The 20,617-nt window shown below is 47.2% G+C and overlaps 2 pseudogenes across 1 annotated transcript, besides 3 other annotated features; one reads left to right on the top strand and one right to left on the bottom strand.

Moving 5' to 3' along the window:
* Positions 1,110 to 1,239: an enhancer, noted in NCBI's record as "active region_643". NCBI's record gives its function as "activates an Ori minimal core promoter by ATAC-STARR-seq in GM12878 lymphoblastoid cells {active_cell/tissue: GM12878}" and the evidence as "EXISTENCE:reporter gene assay evidence [ECO:0000049][PMID:35858748]".
* LDC1P (leucine decarboxylase 1, pseudogene) lies at positions 2,144 to 10,625 on the bottom strand (annotated as a pseudogene). The gene is made up of 8 exons (NR_034112.2): positions 10,323 to 10,625; positions 9,171 to 9,357; positions 7,522 to 7,695; positions 6,410 to 6,582; positions 5,123 to 5,232; positions 4,304 to 4,470; positions 3,129 to 3,276; positions 2,144 to 2,994 (listed from the first exon to the last, which is right to left on the bottom strand). The product of NR_034112.2 is annotated as a leucine decarboxylase 1, pseudogene (transcript).
* Positions 2,478 to 3,677: an enhancer, noted in NCBI's record as "CDK7 strongly-dependent group 2 enhancer chr1:31972634-31973833 (GRCh37/hg19 assembly coordinates)". NCBI's record gives its function as "activates an origin of replication core promoter dependent on BRD2, BRD4, P300/CBP, MED14 and CDK7 cofactors, with strong dependence on CDK7, by STARR-seq in HCT116 cells {active_cell/tissue: HCT116}" and the evidence as "EXISTENCE:reporter gene assay evidence [ECO:0000049][PMID:35650434]".
* Positions 2,561 to 3,060: an enhancer, noted in NCBI's record as "H3K4me1 hESC enhancer chr1:31973251-31973750 (GRCh37/hg19 assembly coordinates)". NCBI's record gives its function as "activates a minimal SCP1, AML or CMV promoter by ChIP-STARR-seq in naive H9 embryonic stem cells {active_cell/tissue: H9 hESC(naive)}" and the evidence as "EXISTENCE:reporter gene assay evidence [ECO:0000049][PMID:30033119]".
* On the top strand, positions 13,027 to 13,132 carry RNU6-40P (RNA, U6 small nuclear 40, pseudogene; annotated as a pseudogene).

Below are 20,617 nucleotides of genomic sequence, written 5' to 3'. Positions count from 1 at the left end.
ATTATTATTACCACTATTTTACAAGGAAAACTAGAGTTCAACTATGTTAGTTAACCTGCCCAAATTCAAAGCTAGTAGCAGTGGTGCCTAAATTTGAGCCCAGTTCTTCCTTATTCCAGTGACATGCTCTTAACCACTATGATATGTTGATGAATTTTATAGAAACGCTTTCTGGGACAAGGCAAGGGCATGAATAAATAAAAAGCGGGGAGGAGCGGCAGGATGAATTTAAGGATGTAAACTGACACCAGCTAGGTATGAACTGAGCAGGTGTGTGGGCTGCATTATTTAACGTAAAAGATCAATAGCCCATTTTTTGTAGTCGCTCTGAGAAGAAGTAGCTTCTAATGCGTCCCCTTCAACCACTGCTCAAGAGAGTGGGAAAGGAGGGATGCAGAGGCAAATGACAAGGAGGGTGGGCAGGGCAGGCCACTGCTGAGAAAAGTCAGTGTAAGACCTGACCGAAGACACAGGCATGCGGTGGCTCACACCTGTAATGCCGGCACTTTGGGAGGTTGAGGCAGGCGGATTGCTTGAGCCCAGAAGTTCGAGACCAGCCTGGGCAACATGGCAAAACTCCATCTCTACCAAAAATATAAAAATTAGCCGGGTGTGGTGGTACACACCTATAGTCCCAGCTATTCAGGAGGCTGAGGTGGGAGGATCACCTGAGCCCTGAGGGGTCGAGGCTGTAGTGACCCGAGATCATGCCACAGCACTCCAGCCTGGGCGACAGAGTAAGACTCTGTCTCAAAAAGAGAGGAAAGAAAGAGAAAGGGAATGGAGGAAGGGAGGGAGGAAAGAAAGAAGAGAAAGAAAAAAGGAAAGGAATGGAAAGGAAAGGAAAATGAAAGAAAGAAAAGAAAAAAGAAAAGAAAAGAAATGAAAAGAGAAAAGGAAAGAACTGACCCAAAATGACAGCAAGATATTTTTGGAAGGTCTGCATAGGATTTCATAGTTACCCAAACCTCTGCCTCCTCCCTGCCATCCCAACTCCCAACAGTTCCCAGGGGCCTACCTACCAGAGTGTCTTAAAGCCCTCCAGCCTAGCTGGCTCTGGGTTAAGGCTCTGCCTCCAGAAGGCTCATGGGGAAAGGACATGGGGTACAGGGTGGGTGTCAAGGCCTTTGCCTACAGCCCTGAGGCTGCACACACAGCAGCAGAGCTGGGGCCTGGAGGCAGAGCTGGGACAGTGGGCGTCTGAAGCAGGAGTAGGGCCAGCCAGTGGCTAGAGGGCCTGGGGATCTCTTTGCAATTCTCCACCTCCCTGGGAGGGGGGCCAGAGGCAGATGAGAGTCCAAAGGTCAGATGGACACTTTGACTTCAGTGAGTCAACAGGGGAAGGGAGATTCCCTGGGGCCAGTTCCCACCCCAAGCTCAAATGAGTGTGAGGTTTCCTGCTTCCTCTTCAACCCCAACCCCTAGGCACCTGAGCTGGGGGCCCATGGTGTAGCAGATGGTGGCAGGCAGGAAGCCATTGAAGCTGGAGCTCATGGAGGACATGTAGGCACCCATGGAGGGGAAGACCAGCCAATCGCCTACATCCAGCTCGGGCAGCCGCACATCCTCCAAGAAGAGCCTGTCAAAGGCATCGCACATGGGACATAGAGGGTGCAGGGGAAGAGGGGCGGCTCTGAGCAGAACTCCTGTGTGACATAGGAAAGGGGGTCAGAAAAGACAGCAGGCTGGCCTATCCCACCCCCTTATCTGGAAGGCACTGAAAGACCCGGAAGGACACTCCCAGGGGCACACGGGTGTATACTGGCTGGGACCCATCCCTCCATGGCCCCTGCCCAGCCTGGCCAGGTCTGATGTGCCTACAAGTAAGGGCTCAGATTCCTCCTCTGTAAGTGGGGCTGTTGTCTTCAATAATTGCTATAAGGCAGCAGTTGAAAACTCAATTACCTAGAGGTCAAGCAGGTAACACAAATGAGTGAAATGGGCCAGGTAAGTCTTACAACAAACTGGAAAGTCAATGTCTGTCCAAAGGGGAAAGCCACTGAGGAAGTCCCGTTCCAGCAGATCACAGTGCCTGACATGCTAGACTAATTTGTTGAATTATTTGTTGCCTTGTTGTTCTGCAGGCCACGTATCATCAGATCTCTCAAATGTTTGAGAGGAGCTGAGAAAATCCAGGCTTTTATGAAATATGTCTAGATTTTTTAATATGGGCAACTAAAATTGAAAACTATTGTGGGAACCAAACAAACACAGGGTCTCCTACTGGTTCCTCCACATCCAGAACTCACTCCTTCCGATGAGAAGAGAGGCAAATACACACACGAAGACACACACCCAGAAACACTTCACACACGTACACACTCGCACATGCATGCAAACACACGTCACATACATGACCAAATGTGTGCACACACCAAGACGTTCACTGGCCGGGAGAAACAGTCAAGATATTTACAAAGCAGTGTGGCCCGGACACCAACCCATCACATTAGGAGACAACTGCTGCAGAGCTGGAGGAAGATCCTGTTGGCCCTACAGGGTCAGGTATTGAAGCTTTGTTGCCAGATCGTGGGAGGGACTGAGCAGCAAGAGTGTCGGCAGGGAGGCCCCTGGTGGACTCGGGGGAATAGCTCTTTAACCACCAGGAAGAAGGAATGGCTCTTAAGCCACCAGGGAGAAGAACTTCAATATTTTGGAAAACAACCCACGCCTTTGTGTTCTGGTGATCGCCCCTTTGCCTGAGGAGGCCTACATATCCAGCTGCTGCACACGCTCTGATCTGTGAGCACACATCATGTACGTGTCCACATGTGTTCTAAGCAGCAGGCCAGGACCTGCCTCTGGGGTCCAGCACAGCCACTGTTCCCAGTAGGGGAGGCACAAGGCACCTCAAGGTAAGGGACTAGACTCGGGGCTGGAGTGGCCCCCTTACCTTCACCACGATGGGAACCCTTGGGACAGGCTCTCGGTAGCAGAGGCGGAAGGAGCCATAGTGGCCATCTTTGAGATAATACACCAGCTTCCGGCTGCCTCCTGGGGAGTGCTCAGTCACTACTCTGACCCCCAGCTCCTGGGACAGAGCCCAACCCTCTGCCCTTCCTCTCCTCCAGGGCCTGGGGACACCTGGACAGTGGCATCCCCACCCAGTGCCATCCTGGCCCACCCACCGGGCTCCAGCACAGCCCTCTTGGCAATGATGTTGACAGCGGCCATGCAGACAGACTCCACATAGAAGCAGCCAGGCTCTGCGATGACCTTGACACCACGCTCCTCAGGGAGGTCCTGGGCCAGGGCAGCACTGATCACTCTCGCCAACTGGAATGGGGTGGAGGGACAGCAGGAAGAGGTTAACTCATCCAGCACGTGTTGATGTGCCAGCGCCTGTGCCAACGCCTTACCTGCATCAGTCCTTTCATCCCCGAGGCACCCTGCAGGTAGGCATTAGAATTATCCCTGTTTACCAAAGAGGAAACAGAAGTTGAGAGACAGGAGGTCACTTGTGTGGGGTTGCTGGCCACCAGGCTCCCTGAGAAGTCCAAAGGTGCAGCAATTTAATCTGATGCACCGTAAGAAGGCGAGTGTCTTGTGGACCCAGGGAATGTAAACTCCCAACTGTAACTGTAACTGTATTGGTGATGCTAACAAGAATTCTACATTCTACAGGAAAACATATACACATACAGACACACAGACACACAGAGAGGCACAGCCCCCAGACACCTTGCTGCAGCTGCAGTGGACACCCTGTGCCACCTCCCCTCAGCCTACCTGAGCTCATCTGCCCGTGCAAAATGATTTCCAGCCTCCAGCGCCTGCCTCCCTTTGCTTCTCATTCTGTGGGCTTTCTCCAGCACCCTCGGAAACTAGCTGGAATGTGAGGAAATTAACACCCCCAGACCACAGCCTTCAACCAAAGAAGGACAGGAGTTGGTGAATAAAGGACCAGCCCCATGTCCTCTAGTGGGATGATTCTGAGGTTCTACATTGTCCCCAGGGGGACTGGTGCAGCGGCCCACAGTGGTAACCAGCTCATAGATGAATTTTCTTTTGACTTTTCTCCCTTCTATCTCTCTTTCCTGACTTCCTCATTGGCGCTTCCACGGATCATCTCCAAAAAAACTACTTGTATCCAAGTGTTTGTCTCAGAGTCTGCTTTTGGGGGATATCAAAGCCAAGACATGCACATACACACATACCCACCTGTGCACACAGAGCACAGAGATACACCAGAGAGACCTAAACACACAGAGGTACATGCATGAACACAGACTCCCCACACACACCCATGCCTGGGCACACATGCGGACCTCCCTGAACACCCCCAGCGCCCGTACCAGCTCACCTCCTCAAACTTGGGCCCGGAGCCCTCCATTCCGGGGAAGCCCCCTCCAATGTCCAGGCAGCTCATATCATGCCCAGCCCTGTGGCCCATTTCCAACATGCACCGGCAGTCAGCGATAGCTTGTGTGAAGCTCTGGGGGGGTCTGGCAGTTGGAGCCCAGGTGGAAGCTAGCAGAGCCAGTGCATGTGACATGGTGAGAGATATGTACTGAAACACATGTTCCAAACCACAAAGCCACACAGACTGTGGATAACCGCAACAGAGACAGAGAGGCACAGTCACACATAAGGCATGAAGCCATTGGGCCAAATGCAGAAACAAAGAGCGGAAACATAACTGATTACACTGGCATAAGTGTGTGCTTTCAGACAGCTGCACACTCAGGCCAACGAGGCACCTACGAAGGGGCACTCACCCTGAGTATTCACACGTACACACACTTAGACACACACTGCCATGGAGCCCATGATCCCAGCACTGCCACGTGGGCTGCCCTTCCCCTCATGGACACTTCACAACAAGACACCAAACCCCAGGGCCTCAGAGCAGGGAGGCCCTGAGTAACCTTCACATCATATCCTGCCCCTTTAGACAGATGGGGTCTCACAGGCCCAGAGAGGGGCCACAGCTTGCCATGGGCCCCAACTGATTACACTTATGCCAGTGTAGTCAGTTATATTTCCAGCTGTTTGTTTCTGCATTTGGCCCCAGTGGTTTCGTGCCTTATGTGTGACTGTGTCTCGCTGTCTCTGTCGCAGTTATCCACAGCAAGGGAAGGACCAGAACCCAGGGCTCCTGGAGTCCTCAGGCGTCACTCACCTGGCTCCGACCACGGCCAACCCCAGGTCTCTGGCAGACGTGAGCAGGTGCCCACAGGCTTCCAGGCTGGCCCCGAACTTGGTGCTCAGAGGGAAGGTGCTCTGACTGTCCTGGGTCCTCAGCCGGAGGAGCAGTCCGGAGGAGGGACACCAAGGATAGGGAGGAGGCAGAGAGCACTTAGCCAGAGATGCCAAAGAGCCCAGGGCTTCTTATACCACCCCCACCCAGGCCCAGCTGATCCCCGCATCTGGGAGGTTTTCCAATGCCACCAAATCCATGCGGCCATCACACCAGCCCAACACACGTGTGTATACATCTACTCTTCCCCAGGTACAACCAGAGAAGGGAGGGTAGAAAAATGATAGTATTGGTAAGCACCTACTATGTGCCAGACAACATGCCCCCAAGTTGTAAATGAAGGAACCGAGTGTTAAAAATGTTAAAAGAGACTTGCCCAGGCGGGGCACGATGGCTCAAGCCTGTAATTCCAGAACATTTGGAGGCTGAGGCGGGTGGATCACCTGAGGTCAGGAGTTCGAGACCAGCCTGGCCAACATAGTGAAACCCCATCTCTACTAAAAATACAAAAAATTAGCCAGATGTGGTGGCAGGAGCCTGTAATCCCAGCTACTCCGGAGGCAGAGGCAGGAGAATCACTTGAACCCAGGAGGTGGAGGTTGTGGTGACCTGAGATTGCACCACGCACTCCAGTCTGAGCAACAAGAGAAAAACTCTGTCTCAAAAAAAAGAGACTTGGCTGGGCACGGTGGCTCACACCTGTAATCCCAGTACTTTGGGAGGCCAAGGCAGGCGGATCACAAGGTTAGGAGTTCAAGACTAGCCTGACTAACATGGTGAAGCCCTGTCTCTACTAAATATACAAAAATTAGCCAGGCATGGTGGCACGCGCCAGTAATCCCAGCTACTCAGGAGGCTGAGGCAGGAGAATGGCATGAACACGGGAGGCAGAGGTTGCAGTGAGCCAAGATCGCGCCACTGCACTCCAGCCCGGGCAACAGAGAGAGACTCCGTCTCAAAAAAAAAAAAAAAAAACAAAAAACAAAAAACTTGCCCAATGCATACATCAGGTAAGCAACAATGCCAGAATTTGAACCTGGGCTGTCTCACTCCAAAGGCAGCTGCCAGACCCTTTTAAAATGGCTGGGCCTTGAGGGTCCTCCCCTTCACTTGTCTCAGATCAGCATTTGTCAGGGGTGTGCTGTGTTGGGTGATTCGTTCTTTACTGCTGACCCTCACCCTAGCTGCCTGCATCCCTGCTGGACTCACCTGGCCCTGGGGTGGTGCTGGGCCACCTTGGTGAGCTCCTCCTCGCTGTCAAAGGTCAGGAGCTGCACCCCGTGCTGGGCAGCATACCGGATGTGGGAGGCAGGTTTGCAGGGGTTGGCATAGACGATGCGCGAGGGGGCCACACCCAGGCCCAGCACCTGCTCCAGTTCCACCTGGGGTGGCCAAGAGCCAGGGTTGGGGGCTGCATCACTGCCCCCACCCCAGCTATGTGGGGACAGAAACACTGTGCATGAGCCAAAGAGGCTGCCCTGATGAAACCCCGGGTTGGGTCTCACCCCCTGCTCCCTCACTTCCAGGCAGGAGCCCTGCGTGGGGCTGACGGGGTGCTCATTATGGAGTCCCTGCAGGGCAGGGAAGGGCAGGGCAGGGCTCATAGTCTCAATGTGCCGGGCACTCCAGGTGCTCATAGTCTCAGTTTAGAACCAACCCCCCTCCCATCAATTTCAGCCCCATAGAGAGGAGATGGGCTGGCTTCCTAGAGGCAGCGGGTGCACTTAATCCTGCTTAGTGGAGGGCTCCTCAGAAAGGGAGGAAGGGCTGGTCCGAAGGCAGTGAGTTATCTCAATTGACTGTTAACAGTCAGTTACAGATGAACTCCTTGTTCTACTCTTCTTTCCCACTTCTCACTACTACACTTGACTAGTCTTAAAAAGAAAGGAAGGAAGGACAGAGGCTCAGCAAAATACTCCCATCCTGAGTTCTCCCCCTTCCCACCCTTGAGCTTCGGCTCTAACCTCCCTCAACATTGCTGAATCCCCTTCTGCTAAGAACCCCTTGGAATGTTTCACCCCTGGCGTAAGAAAAAAATGCCAACTTTGGATCGGTCATCTCTGTCTCTTACCATATGTTGGCCCATGGGCAAGTGATCTCCCTAAGGCTGTCTCCTCCTCTATGAATGTGGATCCCCTGACTACCTTGCAGAGCCGATGGGAGGATCAAGGAGAATGCATGTTAGGCCCCCTGCAGTGTGCTTAGCATATTTCAAGTGCTCTGCGGGACAGGGGACGCTTATTCATGACCTCAGCAGCAGCAGCATGGGATTCACCCCCTTCCAGCTGGCCTGGCCTAATCCTCGGTGGGCACAGGCTTACCTGGCTGGCACAGTCAAAGCCGGTGCCCAGGGCGGCCAGGACACGCAGCACCCAAGGGCTACTGTTGCACTTCACTGCATAGAAGGGCGAGACCTGTGGCAGGGCTTGGCAGAAGGCCTGATGGCAGCTGGCCAGTATGTCCAGGTCAGCCAGTATGAAGGGGTCTTGCTGGTCCTACGGGGCAGGGAGACAGGGAGGAAAGGCTGAGGGGCTGGATTATCTCACTTAATCCTCATAACAGCTCTATGAAGTAAAGGCTGCTGTTATCCCCATTTTGCAGATGGGGAAGCAAAGGCTCAAAAAGGTGGTCACTGGCTCAAAGTCCTATAGCAAAAGCATGGCAAAGACAGGGTCTGAACCCAGGTCTCCTAAGCCTAGGGAGACCGCCCTTGACACTGTTCCATTCTGCCTTGCCACGGTCCTGGGTAGGAGAGAGGAGCCTGCTGGGCTGGGGCAGCTCCAGGCTATTTGTTCTACAGTCATTCAACAGGGTTATCCAGCACCTACTCTGTGCCAGGCTCTAGTCTGGGTACTGGGGAAAGAGCAGTGAAGAAAACAGATCAAAAATCCTCGTCTTTGTGGAGCTTCCATCCAACTGAGCCACAGAGAAAAAGGCATGGACTCAGGCAGCATGAGCTGATTAATCAACTGTCATGAGCCACACACTGTGCTGGGGGAAGGGATGGAGATACTATATAAATCATTCCCATTGCACAGATGCAGTCACTGAGGTGCAGAGGGCTGGAGTGCCTCACCCAAGTTCTTACTGCTGGACAGCAGCACAGTTGACATTCAATCCCAAAAGGAAATGGCTTCAGGAACACCTGTAGGCCAGGATATTTTCGAGATATCTATTTTTTTCTTCTAATTTTCTCTCTTCTTCTCCCCCTTATTGATGCCAGTGTCTGGCTCTATAATGTCCCTGGGGAGAGATGTGGCCAGGCAGGAGGCAGATGTGGCCAGGCAGGAGGCGGCCTTCTTAGGGAAGCTTAGCCCTTGGGAGAAGAGGATGCCAGGGTACAAGAAGAATGTCATGGTGACACCGATAGAAGGCCCTCCCTGACCAGGAAGAGGGTCCCCTGACTGGCGGGGATGGGGTGGTGAAGATGGTAAGAGAGCTGAGACTTTGTGCCCTAAGGGAATCTGAGGGGTGGTAGGATGGAGCCCCTGGAAGCCAGTGGGGAAATGGTAAGTCACCGGGTGAGTCTAGAGCAGGCCTTCCCAGCCTTCATGTGCAGGCAAATCCCCCAGGATCCTGTCAACTGTGTGCTCCATGCAGTCAGTCTAGGGTGGACAAAGAGTCTGCACTGCCAACAGGTTCTCCAGTGATGGTGACAATCAGGTCCAGACGAGAATATGTCCAGAGGCAGCACAGCCCTAAAAACCCAGGGAGCCAGGGAAGCCAGGAGGACAAGCAGGCAATCATCTTTGTAGACCAAAGCTGGAGGACCCCACAGCTTGGCACTGGGTAAAACCCCCAGTGGTGGAAGCAGGCAGGGCAGGAAGAACAAAAGTCATGCTTTCCCATTAGCCCCAGAACAAGAGAGCCTTGAGAGAGACGGCCTAATGGCGTTACAGAACGGTGAAACAGAAAGCCTTATTTCTTGCCACTAAGGAAGACCTGAGGCTCACAACTCCCCGTCTCTCACCTCCCTCCATACTCAGTCAGAAAGCTCCTGGATCCTCCACAGGACCATCTGCTGGGCAGATTCTTCTGGCCCCAGGGCGATGAGCTTCTTTGGCCATGGCCTTCCATGGGCTTCCTTCAGGCCCCCGAGGCAGGTGCTCATCCCTGAAACTCCAACTGAGCCCTCTACCGGGCATGGTCCTGGCATCCTGGAAAAGACTTGCTCTCATGACCCAGCCTCCTCCCAGCCCCCAGCTCCCCACTCCCCACAGGCCCTGGGAGCCAGAGCTCCCAAATAAGTCTTTTGTGTGTTTTTGTTTGTTTGTTTTGTTTTTAAGATGGAGTCTTGCTCTGTCGCCCAGGCTGGAGTGCAGTGGCGCAATCTCGGCTCGCTGCAACCTCCACCTCCCAGGTTCAAGCAATTCTTCTGCCTCAGCCTCCCTAGTAGCTGGGACTACAGGCACCTGCCACCGCACCTGGCTAGTTTTTGTATTTTTAGTAGGCACAGGGTTTTGCCATGTTGGCCAGGCTGGTCTCCAACTCCTGACCTCAAGTGATCTGCCCACCTTGGCCTCCCAAAATGCTGGGATTACAGGCATGAGCCACTGTGCCCAGCCTGGAGGCCAGTATTCTAAGTGAGGTAACACAGGAGTGGAAAACCCAAAACCGTATGTTCTCACTTACTAGTGGGAGCTAAGCTATGAATATACAAAGACAAACAGAGTAATATAATGGATTTCAAAGACTCAGAAGGGGGAGGCTGGAGGGGTGCTAGAGATTAAAAAAAACTACACATTAGGTACAATTAACCCTACTCAGATGATGGGTGCACTAAAGCCTCAGAATTCACCACTGTATAATTCATCCATGTAACAAAAAACAAAAACAAAACAAAACAAAACAAAAAAACACTTGTACACCAAAAGCTAATTTTTTTTTAAAAAAAGCAGCAATATGGAGTCAGCTGTGTTAGATTTCTCTCAGTGTTTTAATTTTGCAAAGGCAGTTTCAGGAGTCAGATCTCCGGTGTTCCTGGGCTTCAGGTAGATCCCTATGGGAAGAGCAGAGTCCAGCCCAGATCTTAAGGGATAGGGGAAGTACTTCCTAGCTGTCCCCTCTAAACCTCGGCCACCCTGGACTGCTCAGCCCAAATCTCCCAGCCAGAAAAATGTACCTTCCTAGGTCTGCCCGCAGGACAGGTGCACAGAGAGGAGTCCGACCCCTGTTATAAGCGAATGCCGGCAATGATGAGAAGTGGAGGGAACCTAGAAACTTCCCATCCACTCTTTCCGCTCTGCAGATGGAAAGCCGTGGGGCCCAGAGATCTCCAGATCATTCAGCAAACCAGGAGTGAAACTGGGAGTAGGACCAAGGCCTCAGACTCCAACAGGGAGCTGGTTCCACCGCCTCAGAGACCAGTTGCTGTCTCCTGGGGTCGTGTCTCTTGCCCTCCACTGCAGATTTAAGCATCTCACTGGAAGTGTCTTCGAATGGAAGTGGGAGCCTGTGTGCGTCACTCAGGGTCTAGTCATCTCCCCACCCTCTCCCCTCCCTCCCTCTCCACGTGGACTGCTGAGGTCTCACCTGAGCTCTTCTGGCCCTCCCAGGCTGAAGCCACCACCTTGGGGCAGCCCCACTGCAGGGATCAGCTGTAATCTCCTGCAGGCTTACACCCCACCTCTGTGCTGTGACCCAGAACCTCCTCTGCCTGTTCCAGTGAAGGACAATCAACAGGGAGTGGGCTGCTCTCCAGGTTTTTGTCTGCCAGCCATGCCCAGGGCAGGAGGTGGGGAGGAGGGCAGAGATGACAGGGCTGTGAACCCCAAATATCTGAGACAGATCTCAGTCAATGTAGAAAGTTTATTTTGTCAAGCTTAAGGATGCACCCATCACACAGCCTCAGGAGGTCCTGACATGTGCCTAAGGTGGTCGGGGTACAGCTTGCTTTGATTCATAGGGAGCCAGGAGACATCAATCAATATGTGTAAGATGTACATTGGTTCAGTCTGGCAATGTGGGACAGCTTGAAGGCGGCAGGGGTGCTTCCAGGTCATAAGAGACAAAAGGTTGATAAGAGATGAAAGATTGCATTGAGTCCTTGATCAGCCTTCCACTGAATACACAATTTAATCTGACTCAGTGAATCTGCATTTTTACGTAAACAATAGGGCAGAGGAAACAATCAGATATGCATTTGTCTCAGGTGAGCAGAAGGATGACTTTCTGTCTGCACCTCTGAAGATCAGCTATTAGTTTACATTGCCAGGGTGAAATTCAACAGAACTGTTTTAGGATAAAGACCTTGAGGCCCACAACGAATTTTCTTGTGGGCAGTTTGTGAGGGAGGTATGTAGCTATCTTATTTAGGAATAAAATGGGAGGTGGGTTTGCCTGACATAGTTCCCAGCCTGATTTTTCCCTTGGCTTAGTGATTTGGGGATCCCGAGGCTTTATTTTCCTTTCAAAGGGCCCAAGTCTTCTTCTGCCTGGGGCAGCAGAGATAGGGGTCTTTCCCCAGAAACGAACCTGTTCTGAGACCTTGGACCAGCTGTTCTTCCTTTCTCCCGGCCTGCCTCTCGCTCACTGGCCCTCTATGGCCCTTTCTCCTTGGTATAGCAGAGGGCTTAATCCCAAGGGCTCGACATCAGCCTTGTTTACCACTTACCAAGCCTGGTGTGCCACTCGCAATGAATTTGCGACAGGCAAGTTAGTTGACTGCTCTGAACCTCAGTTTTTTCATCTGGAAAATGGGGCCTTAAGGCCAGTTATGAAGATTAAGATATAAAAAGAAAATATATACAAACTGCCTCACTCTCACCGCTGCTGTTTGTGTCTGTGTTTCTATCCATAGGAACTTTCCCTGCCAGATTGTATTGGTCCCTCTGCTTAAAACAGGGACCAAATCTGCATTGCTGGGTCCCCAGTGCCTAGGTTAAGACTTGGGCCGGGGCGTGGTGACTCATGCCTGTAATCTCAACACTTCGGGAGGCCAAGGTGGGTGGATAGATTGAGCCCAGTAGTTGGAGACCAGCCTGGGCAACATGGCAAAACCCTGTCTCTACAAAAAAATACAAAAATTAGCTGGCTGTGGTGGCACACGCCTGTGGTCCCAGCTACTTGGGAGACTGAGCAGGAGGATGGCTTGAGCCCAGGAGGTTGGGGCTGCAGTGAGCTGTGATCATGCCACTTCACTCCAGCACTCCAGCCTGGGCAATAGATACCATGTCTCAAAAAAAAAAAAAAAAAAAGCCTTGGCACAGAATTCAGTAAATATTTGTAGGATAAATTAATAAATGGATGTCACAGCTAACATATGAGATCTGGGATTTAGATCAACTCCTATCTGACTTCACACCCTGTAGGTATCCTGAACAGAAACATCAATGGGGCAGAATTGAGGGCCCAGAAGCAGAGCTGATAGCAAAAACTGGAACATATCACCAATCACCAAAGAAGGTGAAGGGGACAGAGAAGTGGTGCTGGGACAATAGGTAAACAGTTTGGAAAGTAAAGTCTGTTTGGAACCTCACTTCTCAATAGAATAAAAGTGAAATGGTTTAAAAAGTTAAATAAATAAATATATATATGATCATATGATTCCATTTATATAAAATATCCAGAATATACAAGTCCACAGAGACAGAGAGTAGATTTGTGGTTGCCTATGACTGGGGAAAGGGGAGAGAGGAATGGGGAGGGCCTGCTAGTGGGGACAGGGTTTCCTTCTGCGGTGGTGAAAATATTCTGCAATTAGATAGAGATGATGGCTGCTCGACTTGGCAAACATGCTAAAAACCACTGAATTGTATGCTTTGAGAGGTCAAATTTTATGGTATATGAATCATATCTCAACAAAGTTGTTTAAAAAAACAGATTGTGTGCTCGCTTCGGCAGCACATACACTAAAATTGGAACGATACAGAGAAGATTATCATGGCCCCTGCACAGGGATGACACGCAAATTCGTGAAGCGTTCCATATTTTTAATGATCAAGTGGGCTTCATCCCTCGGATGCAAGGCTGGTTCAACATATGCAAATCAATAAAAGTAATCCAGCATATAAACAGAACCAAAGACAAAAACCACATGATTATCTCAATAGATGCAGAAAAGGCCTTTGACAAAATTCAACAGCCTTTCATGCTAAAAACTCTCAATAAATTAGGTATTGATGGGACATATCTCAAAATAATAAGAGCTATTTATGACAAACCCACAGCCAATATCATACTGAATGGGCAAAAACTGGAAGCACTCCCTTTGAAAACTGGCACAAGACAGGGACGCCCTCTCTCACCACTCTTATTCAACATAGTGTTGGAAGTTCTGGCCAGGGCAATCGGGCAGGAGGAAGAAATAAAGGGTATTCATTAGGAAAAGAGGGAGTCAAATTGTCCCTGTTTGCACATGACATGATTGTATATTTAGAAAACTCCATCGTCTCAGCCCAAAATCTCCTTAAGCTGATAAGCAACTTCAGCAAAGTCTCAGGATACAAAATCAATGTGCAAAAATCACAAGCATTCTTATACACCAATAACAGACAAACAGAGAGCCAAATCATGAGTGAACTCCCATTTACAATTGCTTCAAAGAGAATAAAATACCTTGGAATCCAACTTACAAGGGATGTGAAGGACCTCTTCAAGGAGAACTACAAACAACTGCTCAATGAAATAAAAGAGGATACAAACAAATGGAAGAACATTCCATGTTCATGGATAGGAAAAATCAATATCGTGAAAATGGCCATACTGCCCAAGGTAATTTATAGATTCAATGCCATCCCCATCAAGCTACCAATGACTTTCTTCACAGAATTGGAAAAAACTACTTTAAAGTTCACATGGAACCAAAAAAGAGCCTGCATTGCCAAGACAATCCTAAGCCAAAAGAACAAAGCTGGAGGCATCACGCTACCTGACTTCAAACTATACTACAAGGCTACAGTAACCAAAATAGCATGGTACTGGTACCAAAACAGAGATATAGACCAATGGAACAGAACAGAGTCCTCAGAAATAATACCACACATCTACAACCATCTGATCTTTGACAAACCTGACAAAAACAAGAAATGGGGAAAGGATTTCCTATTTAATAAATGGTGCTGGGAAAACTGGCTAGCCATATGTAGAAAGCTGAAACTGGATCCCTTCCTTACACCTTATACTAAAATTAATTCAAGATGGATTAAAGACTTAAATGTTAGACCTAAAACCATAAAAACCCTAGAAGAAAACCTAGGCAATACCATTCAGGACATAGGCATGGGCAAGGACTTCATGTCTAAAACACCAAAAGCAATGGCAACAAAAGCCAAAATTGACAAATGGGATCTAATTAAACTAAAGAGCTTCTACACAGCAAAAGAAACTACCATCAGAATGAACAGGCAACCTACAGAATGGGAGAAAATTTTTGCAATCTACTCGTCTGAAAAAGGGCTAATATCCAGAATCTACAAAGAACTCGAACAAATTTACAAGAAAAAAACAAACAACCCCATCAACAAGTGGGCAAAGGATATGAACAGATACTTCTCAAAAGAAGACATTTATGCAGGCAACAGACACATGAAAAAATGCTCATCATCACTGGCCATCAGAGAAATGCAAATCAAAACCACAATGAGATACCATCTCACACCAGTTAGAATGGTGATCATTAAAAAGTCAGGAAACAACAGGTGCTGGAGAGGATGTGGAGAAATAGGAACACTTTTACACTGTTGGGGGGACTGTAAACTAGTTCAACCATTGTAGAAGACAGTGTGGCAATTCCTCAAGGATCTAGAACTAGAAATATGGTTTGACCCAGCCATCCCATTACTGGGTATATACCCAAAGTATTATAAATCATGCTGCTATAAAGACACATGCACACGTATGTTTATTGTGGCACTATTCACAACAGCAAAGACTTGGAACCAACCTAAATGTCCATCAATGATAGACTGGATTAAGAAAATGTGGCACATATACACCATGGAATACTATGCAGCCATAAAAAAGGATGAGTTCATGTCCTTTGTAGGGACATGGATGAAGCTGGAAACCATCATTCTCAGCAAACTATTGCAAAGACGAAAAACCAAGCACCGCATGTTCTCACTCATAGGTGGGAATTGAACAATGAGAGCACTTGGACACAGGGTGGGGAACATCACACACCGGAGCCTGTTGTGTGGTGGGCGGAGTGGGGAGGGATAGCATTAGGAGATATACCTAATGTAAATGACGAGTTAATGGGTGCAGCACACCAACATGGCACATGTATGCATATGTAACAAACCTGCACGTTATGCACATGTACCCTAGAACTTAAAGTATAATAATAAAAAAATTAAATTAAAAAAACCAAAACACAACAAAACAAAAAACAGATTGCACAATCTCTGCATCCATCCAGGGGGGTCCAGGATCACCAGTTATTCTCTTATTAAAAAAGTTAAATATATATATAAAATATATAATATATACATGTATTATATATAATATATATAAAATATATTATATATACATGTATTATATATAATATATATAAAATATATTATATATACATGTATTATATATAATATATATAAAATATATATATTATATATAATATATATAAAATATATATATTATATATATTATATAATATATATAATATATATTATATATAATATATATAATATATATATAATATATATATTATATATAATATATATAATATATATAATATATATATTATATATAATATATATAATATATATATTATATATATATAATATATATATTATATATATATATATATTTTTTGAGACAGAGTCTCACTCAGTCTCCCAGGCTGGAGTGCAATGGCATGATCTCGGCTCACTGCAATCTCTGCCTCTTGAGTTCAAGCGATTCTCCTGTCTCAGCCTCCTGAGTACCTGGGATTACAGGGACCCGCCACCACATCCATCTAATTTTTTGTATTTTAGTAGAGACAGGGTTTCACCATGTTGCCCAGGCTGATCTCGAACTCCTGAGCTCAGACAATCCACCTGCCTTGGTCTCCCAAAGTGCTAGGATTCCAGGCCTCCCAAAGTGCTGGGATTTAAAAAATCAGCCAGGTGCAGTGGCACATGCCTGTAATCCCAGCACCTTGGGAGGCCGAGGAGGGCAGATCACTTGAGGCCAGGAGTTTGAGACCAACCTGGCCAACATGGCAAAATCCTGTCTCTACTAAAAATACAAAAAAATTAGCCAGGCGTGGTGGCGCACACCTGTAGTCCCAGCTACTTGAGGAGCTAAGGCAGGAGAATCGCTTGAACCCAGGGAACAGAGGTTGCAGTGAGCAGAGATCATGCCACTGCACTCCAGCCTGGGTGACAGAGCAAGACTCCATCTCAAAAAAAAAAAAAAAAAGAGAGAGAGAATTGACTAAAGTATCTTTAAAAGAATTACTTTCTAAGCTTGGATGTGACACAAGAGATCACACTTGTGAAAGATCATCAGGTTTGGTGGCACCTGATTTATAATTTGTGTATATTCATAAATATAAAACTCAGCTCTTCCTGGGAGTTAGGACACCTGGGGATTAACTAAAAGGATATTGTGGCCTGAATAAGCCACTCAGGTTTCAGTTCCCTTGACTATAAAACCTTAATAAGTTATTTAATGCAGAGATTGTGTTCTTCTTCTGAATCCCAGCTTCTAATAAAATTATGTCACCTTTCCTGATCCTCCATTTCCTCATCTGAAAAATGGAATTAATATGTTAGTGTTTGATACCAGCATTGTTTTGAGGATTAAATGAGATAATCTAAGTAAAGATCTTAGTTTAAACCGTGTTAATTGAAATCCCTGGGGTTAGAGGACTGTTCCTGGCCTCATCTGCCTGATACACATGTTAGCAGAAAGTTCTTAGCAAATGGCTCTGACAGCTCTATCTTTCTCAGAGGGCTGTGACCGGCTTGTGCAGAGCTCTGGTGGGTAAATAGTTTTCAGCTCATTCTGCCTGATTATATCCTCATTTCTTCTGGAACATCACTACAAACAAAGCAACAAGTTTGATCCTATGAACTAAGCATGGAGTTGGAATTCAAGGGTGACTAGCCAACAATGGGGGTTAGACCCTTTAGGCCCTGGGATGGCCATGTGAATAAAGTAAAAAATACTTCAGTTTTTCTTTAACTATGCTATTAAAGGTCTTCTTTATGTGCAATATCTGAAGCTTCACCTTAAGGGAGATATTTCACAAAAATAAGATGCCAATGTTATTTTGCCTTAAATGTATAAAAACTATCATCTGTTTTGTAGCAAGGATCAGAAGAAAAATAAACCAGGTCCAACATTTCTATGACTCCCATGTTGGATTAATGAATATGGAATCTTTATAAATTATGCATTGCATAATTTCACTATTTCTTATCATCCTCATAACAATCCCATGAAGCACTAATCATCATCTCCATTTTACAGATGAAAAATCAGAGGCTTACAGATGTTTAAAATGAAGAATTTCCATGGTTGTCAGTAAGTGGCAGAGCCAGGATTCAAACATGGGTCTGTCTGATTCCAGACCCCAGGCTTCTTCCACCAGTGCTTAACTCATTGAATAGTATTCACAACTGTTGGGAACAGGCCCCCCAAAATCTGGCCATAAACTGGCCCCAAAACTGGCCATGAACAAAATCTCTGCAGCACTGTGACTTGTTCATGATGGCCATGATGCCCACGCTGGAAGGTTGTGGGTTTACCAGAATGAGGGCAAGGAACACCTGGCCCACCCAGGGTGGAAAACTGCTTAAAGGCATTCTTAAACCACAAACAATTGCATGAGCGATCTGTGCCTTAAGGACATGCTCCTGCTGCAGATAACTAGCCCAACCCATCCCTTTATTTCGGCCCATTCCTTTGTTTCCCATAAGGGATACTTTTAGTTAATCTAATATCTATAGAAACAATGCTAATGACTGGCTTGCTGTTAATGAATACGTGGGTAAATCTCTGTTCGAGGCTCTCAGCTCTGAAGGCTGTGAGACCCCTGATTTCCCACTTCACACCTCTATATTTCTGTGTGTGTGTCTTTAATTCCTCTAGAGCCACTGGGTTAGGGTCTCCCCGACCGAACTGGTCTCAGCACACAACAACATTGAGAAGTGACTATTATTATGCCTGTTTAAGAGAGGCATCTGTAAGGTCAGAGAGGGGTAAGACCTCATCCAAATCAAATTACTACCAGAACTGACAAAAGTCATCTCAAAGGTGACCTTAGATCTGGGTCTGATGCAGGCCAAACCTAACAGTCAATCTCAAGAGAACAGATGGCATCTGTCCCTGCCAGTCTACCCTTCCTATCATATACCCACCACTTACTGCATCCCTCTCTGTTCCAAACCTCTGCAATCATGCGTCCTTCTTTCAGAAACCCTTTCCCTCCAGCCTAGCCAGCTGCTATTCTCTCCAGTTTTCAATTCAAATGGCACTATGTGCTCGTCATGAGTGCTGCCCATTAGCCGTTTCCAAGTCTCCTCTTGATCACGGGGTAAAATTATACTTCCCCACTGAGGCCATCAGTGTAAGTTAAGTTATACTGCAGTAACAAACTATCCCCAAATCATAGGAGCTTATAACTACAAAGACTTCTTTCTCACTCATGCAGTGTTCCCATGTGGATCAGTTTTGCTCTGTTCCATCATCTCCAGGACTCAGGCTAAGGGAGCAGTCAGTCCCTCATGGCACATTTCTACTTGAAGACCAGTAGCCAAAGCAAGTCATGTGGCTAGGCCAGATGTTAATGAGGAAAGAATTATAATCCTTCCACAGGTGGGGACAGCAAACATTCTGGCAATAATAAGGTCTATTATATTCCTCCCCCTTGAAATGGGATATGGCCACGTGGCTTGCTTTGGCTAATGAAATGTGAGTAAAGTGATGTTACCGCCAGTAGGAAGCTTTAAGAGCCAGTGTTAATTCACCATGCGCTCTGTCCCTTTGCAGAAGCAGTCAGCAGCCAGTGGTTACTCTATCAGCCCAGTTCCTAGGGTGGGGACAGCAGAGAGCAGGGCCCCCAGCTCTCTCCCTTCATAGGGATATAGTTTGAGGCAATCACAACCTTATTAGTTTAAGTACTGAAATGTGAGGGTTGTTTGTTACTGCAGCATCAGTTAACCCATTCAGCTCAATACATGCCTCCTTTGGAAAAGTTCACTTTACTTACAGGGAACAGTGGGAGGTGATCAGAACTAGACCCAGTAGCCAGGTGTGGTAGCACACACCTGTAATCCCAGCTACTCTGGAGGATGAGGCAGGAGAATCGCTTGAACCTGGGAGGTGGAGATTGCAGTGAGCCAAGATCACACCACCAAACTCCAGCCTGGGAAACAGAGCGAGACTCCATCTCAAAATAAATAAATAAAATAACTGGACCCAGGCATTGGTCAGTCAGGAAGCTTCCTGGAGCACTGAGTTTTAAGGAGGATTAAAATATCATAGGATGGGGAAAATCTTCAGGATATTATTATGGCCAAAATTTCTTGAGCAATACCCCACAAGCACAGGCAACCAAAGCAAAAATGGGCAAATGGGATAACAAGTTAAAAAGCTTCTGCACAGCAAAGGATACAATCAGCAAAGTGAAGAGACAACCCACAGAATGGGAAAAAATATTTGCAAACTATCCATCTGACAAGAGATTCATAACCAGAATATATAAGGATCTCAAACAACTCTATAGGAAAAAAAATCAAATAATCCAGTCAAAAAGAGCAAAAGATCTGAATAGACATTTCTCAGAAGATGACATACAAATGACAAACAGACATATGAAAAGGTGCTCAACGTCTTTAGTCATCAGAGAAATGCAAATCAAAACTACAATGAGATATCCTCTCACCCCAGTTAAAATGGCTTATATCCAAAAGACAGGCAATAACAAATGCTGACAAGGATGTAGAGAAAAGAGAACCCTGGTACACTGTTGGTGGGAATGTAAATTAGTGCAACTACTATGAAGAACAGTTTGGAGGTTCCTCAAAAAACTAAAAATCGAGCTATCACATGATCCAGCAATCCCACTGCAGGATATATACCCAAAAGAAAGGAAATCAGTATATGGTAGAGATATCTGCACTCCCATGTTTATTGCAGCATTGTTCACAACAGCCAAGATTTGGAAACAACCTAAGTGTCCATCAACAGATGAAAGGAAAAAGAAAATGTGGTACATATGCCCAATGGAGTACTATTCAGCTGTAAAAAAGAATGAGATCCTGTCATTTGCAACAACATAGATGGAACTGAAGATCATTATGTTAAGTGAAATAAGCTAGGCACAGAAAGACAAACTCCTCATGTTCTCACTTATTTGTGAGATCTAAACAAAAATCAAAAACAATTGAACTCACGGACATAGAGAGTAAAAGGATGGTTACCAGAGGCTGACAAGGGTAATGGAGGGCTGGTGGGGGAGGTGGGTATGGTTGATGAGTGTAAAAA

This window comes from Homo sapiens, chromosome 1, assembly GCF_000001405.40.
Source record: "Homo sapiens chromosome 1, GRCh38.p14 Primary Assembly".
In the NCBI taxonomy this organism is placed as follows: Eukaryota; Metazoa; Chordata; class Mammalia; order Primates; family Hominidae; genus Homo; species Homo sapiens.
Note: the sequence above shows the minus strand (reverse complement) of the source record. Positions and strands in the feature narration are given on the sequence as shown.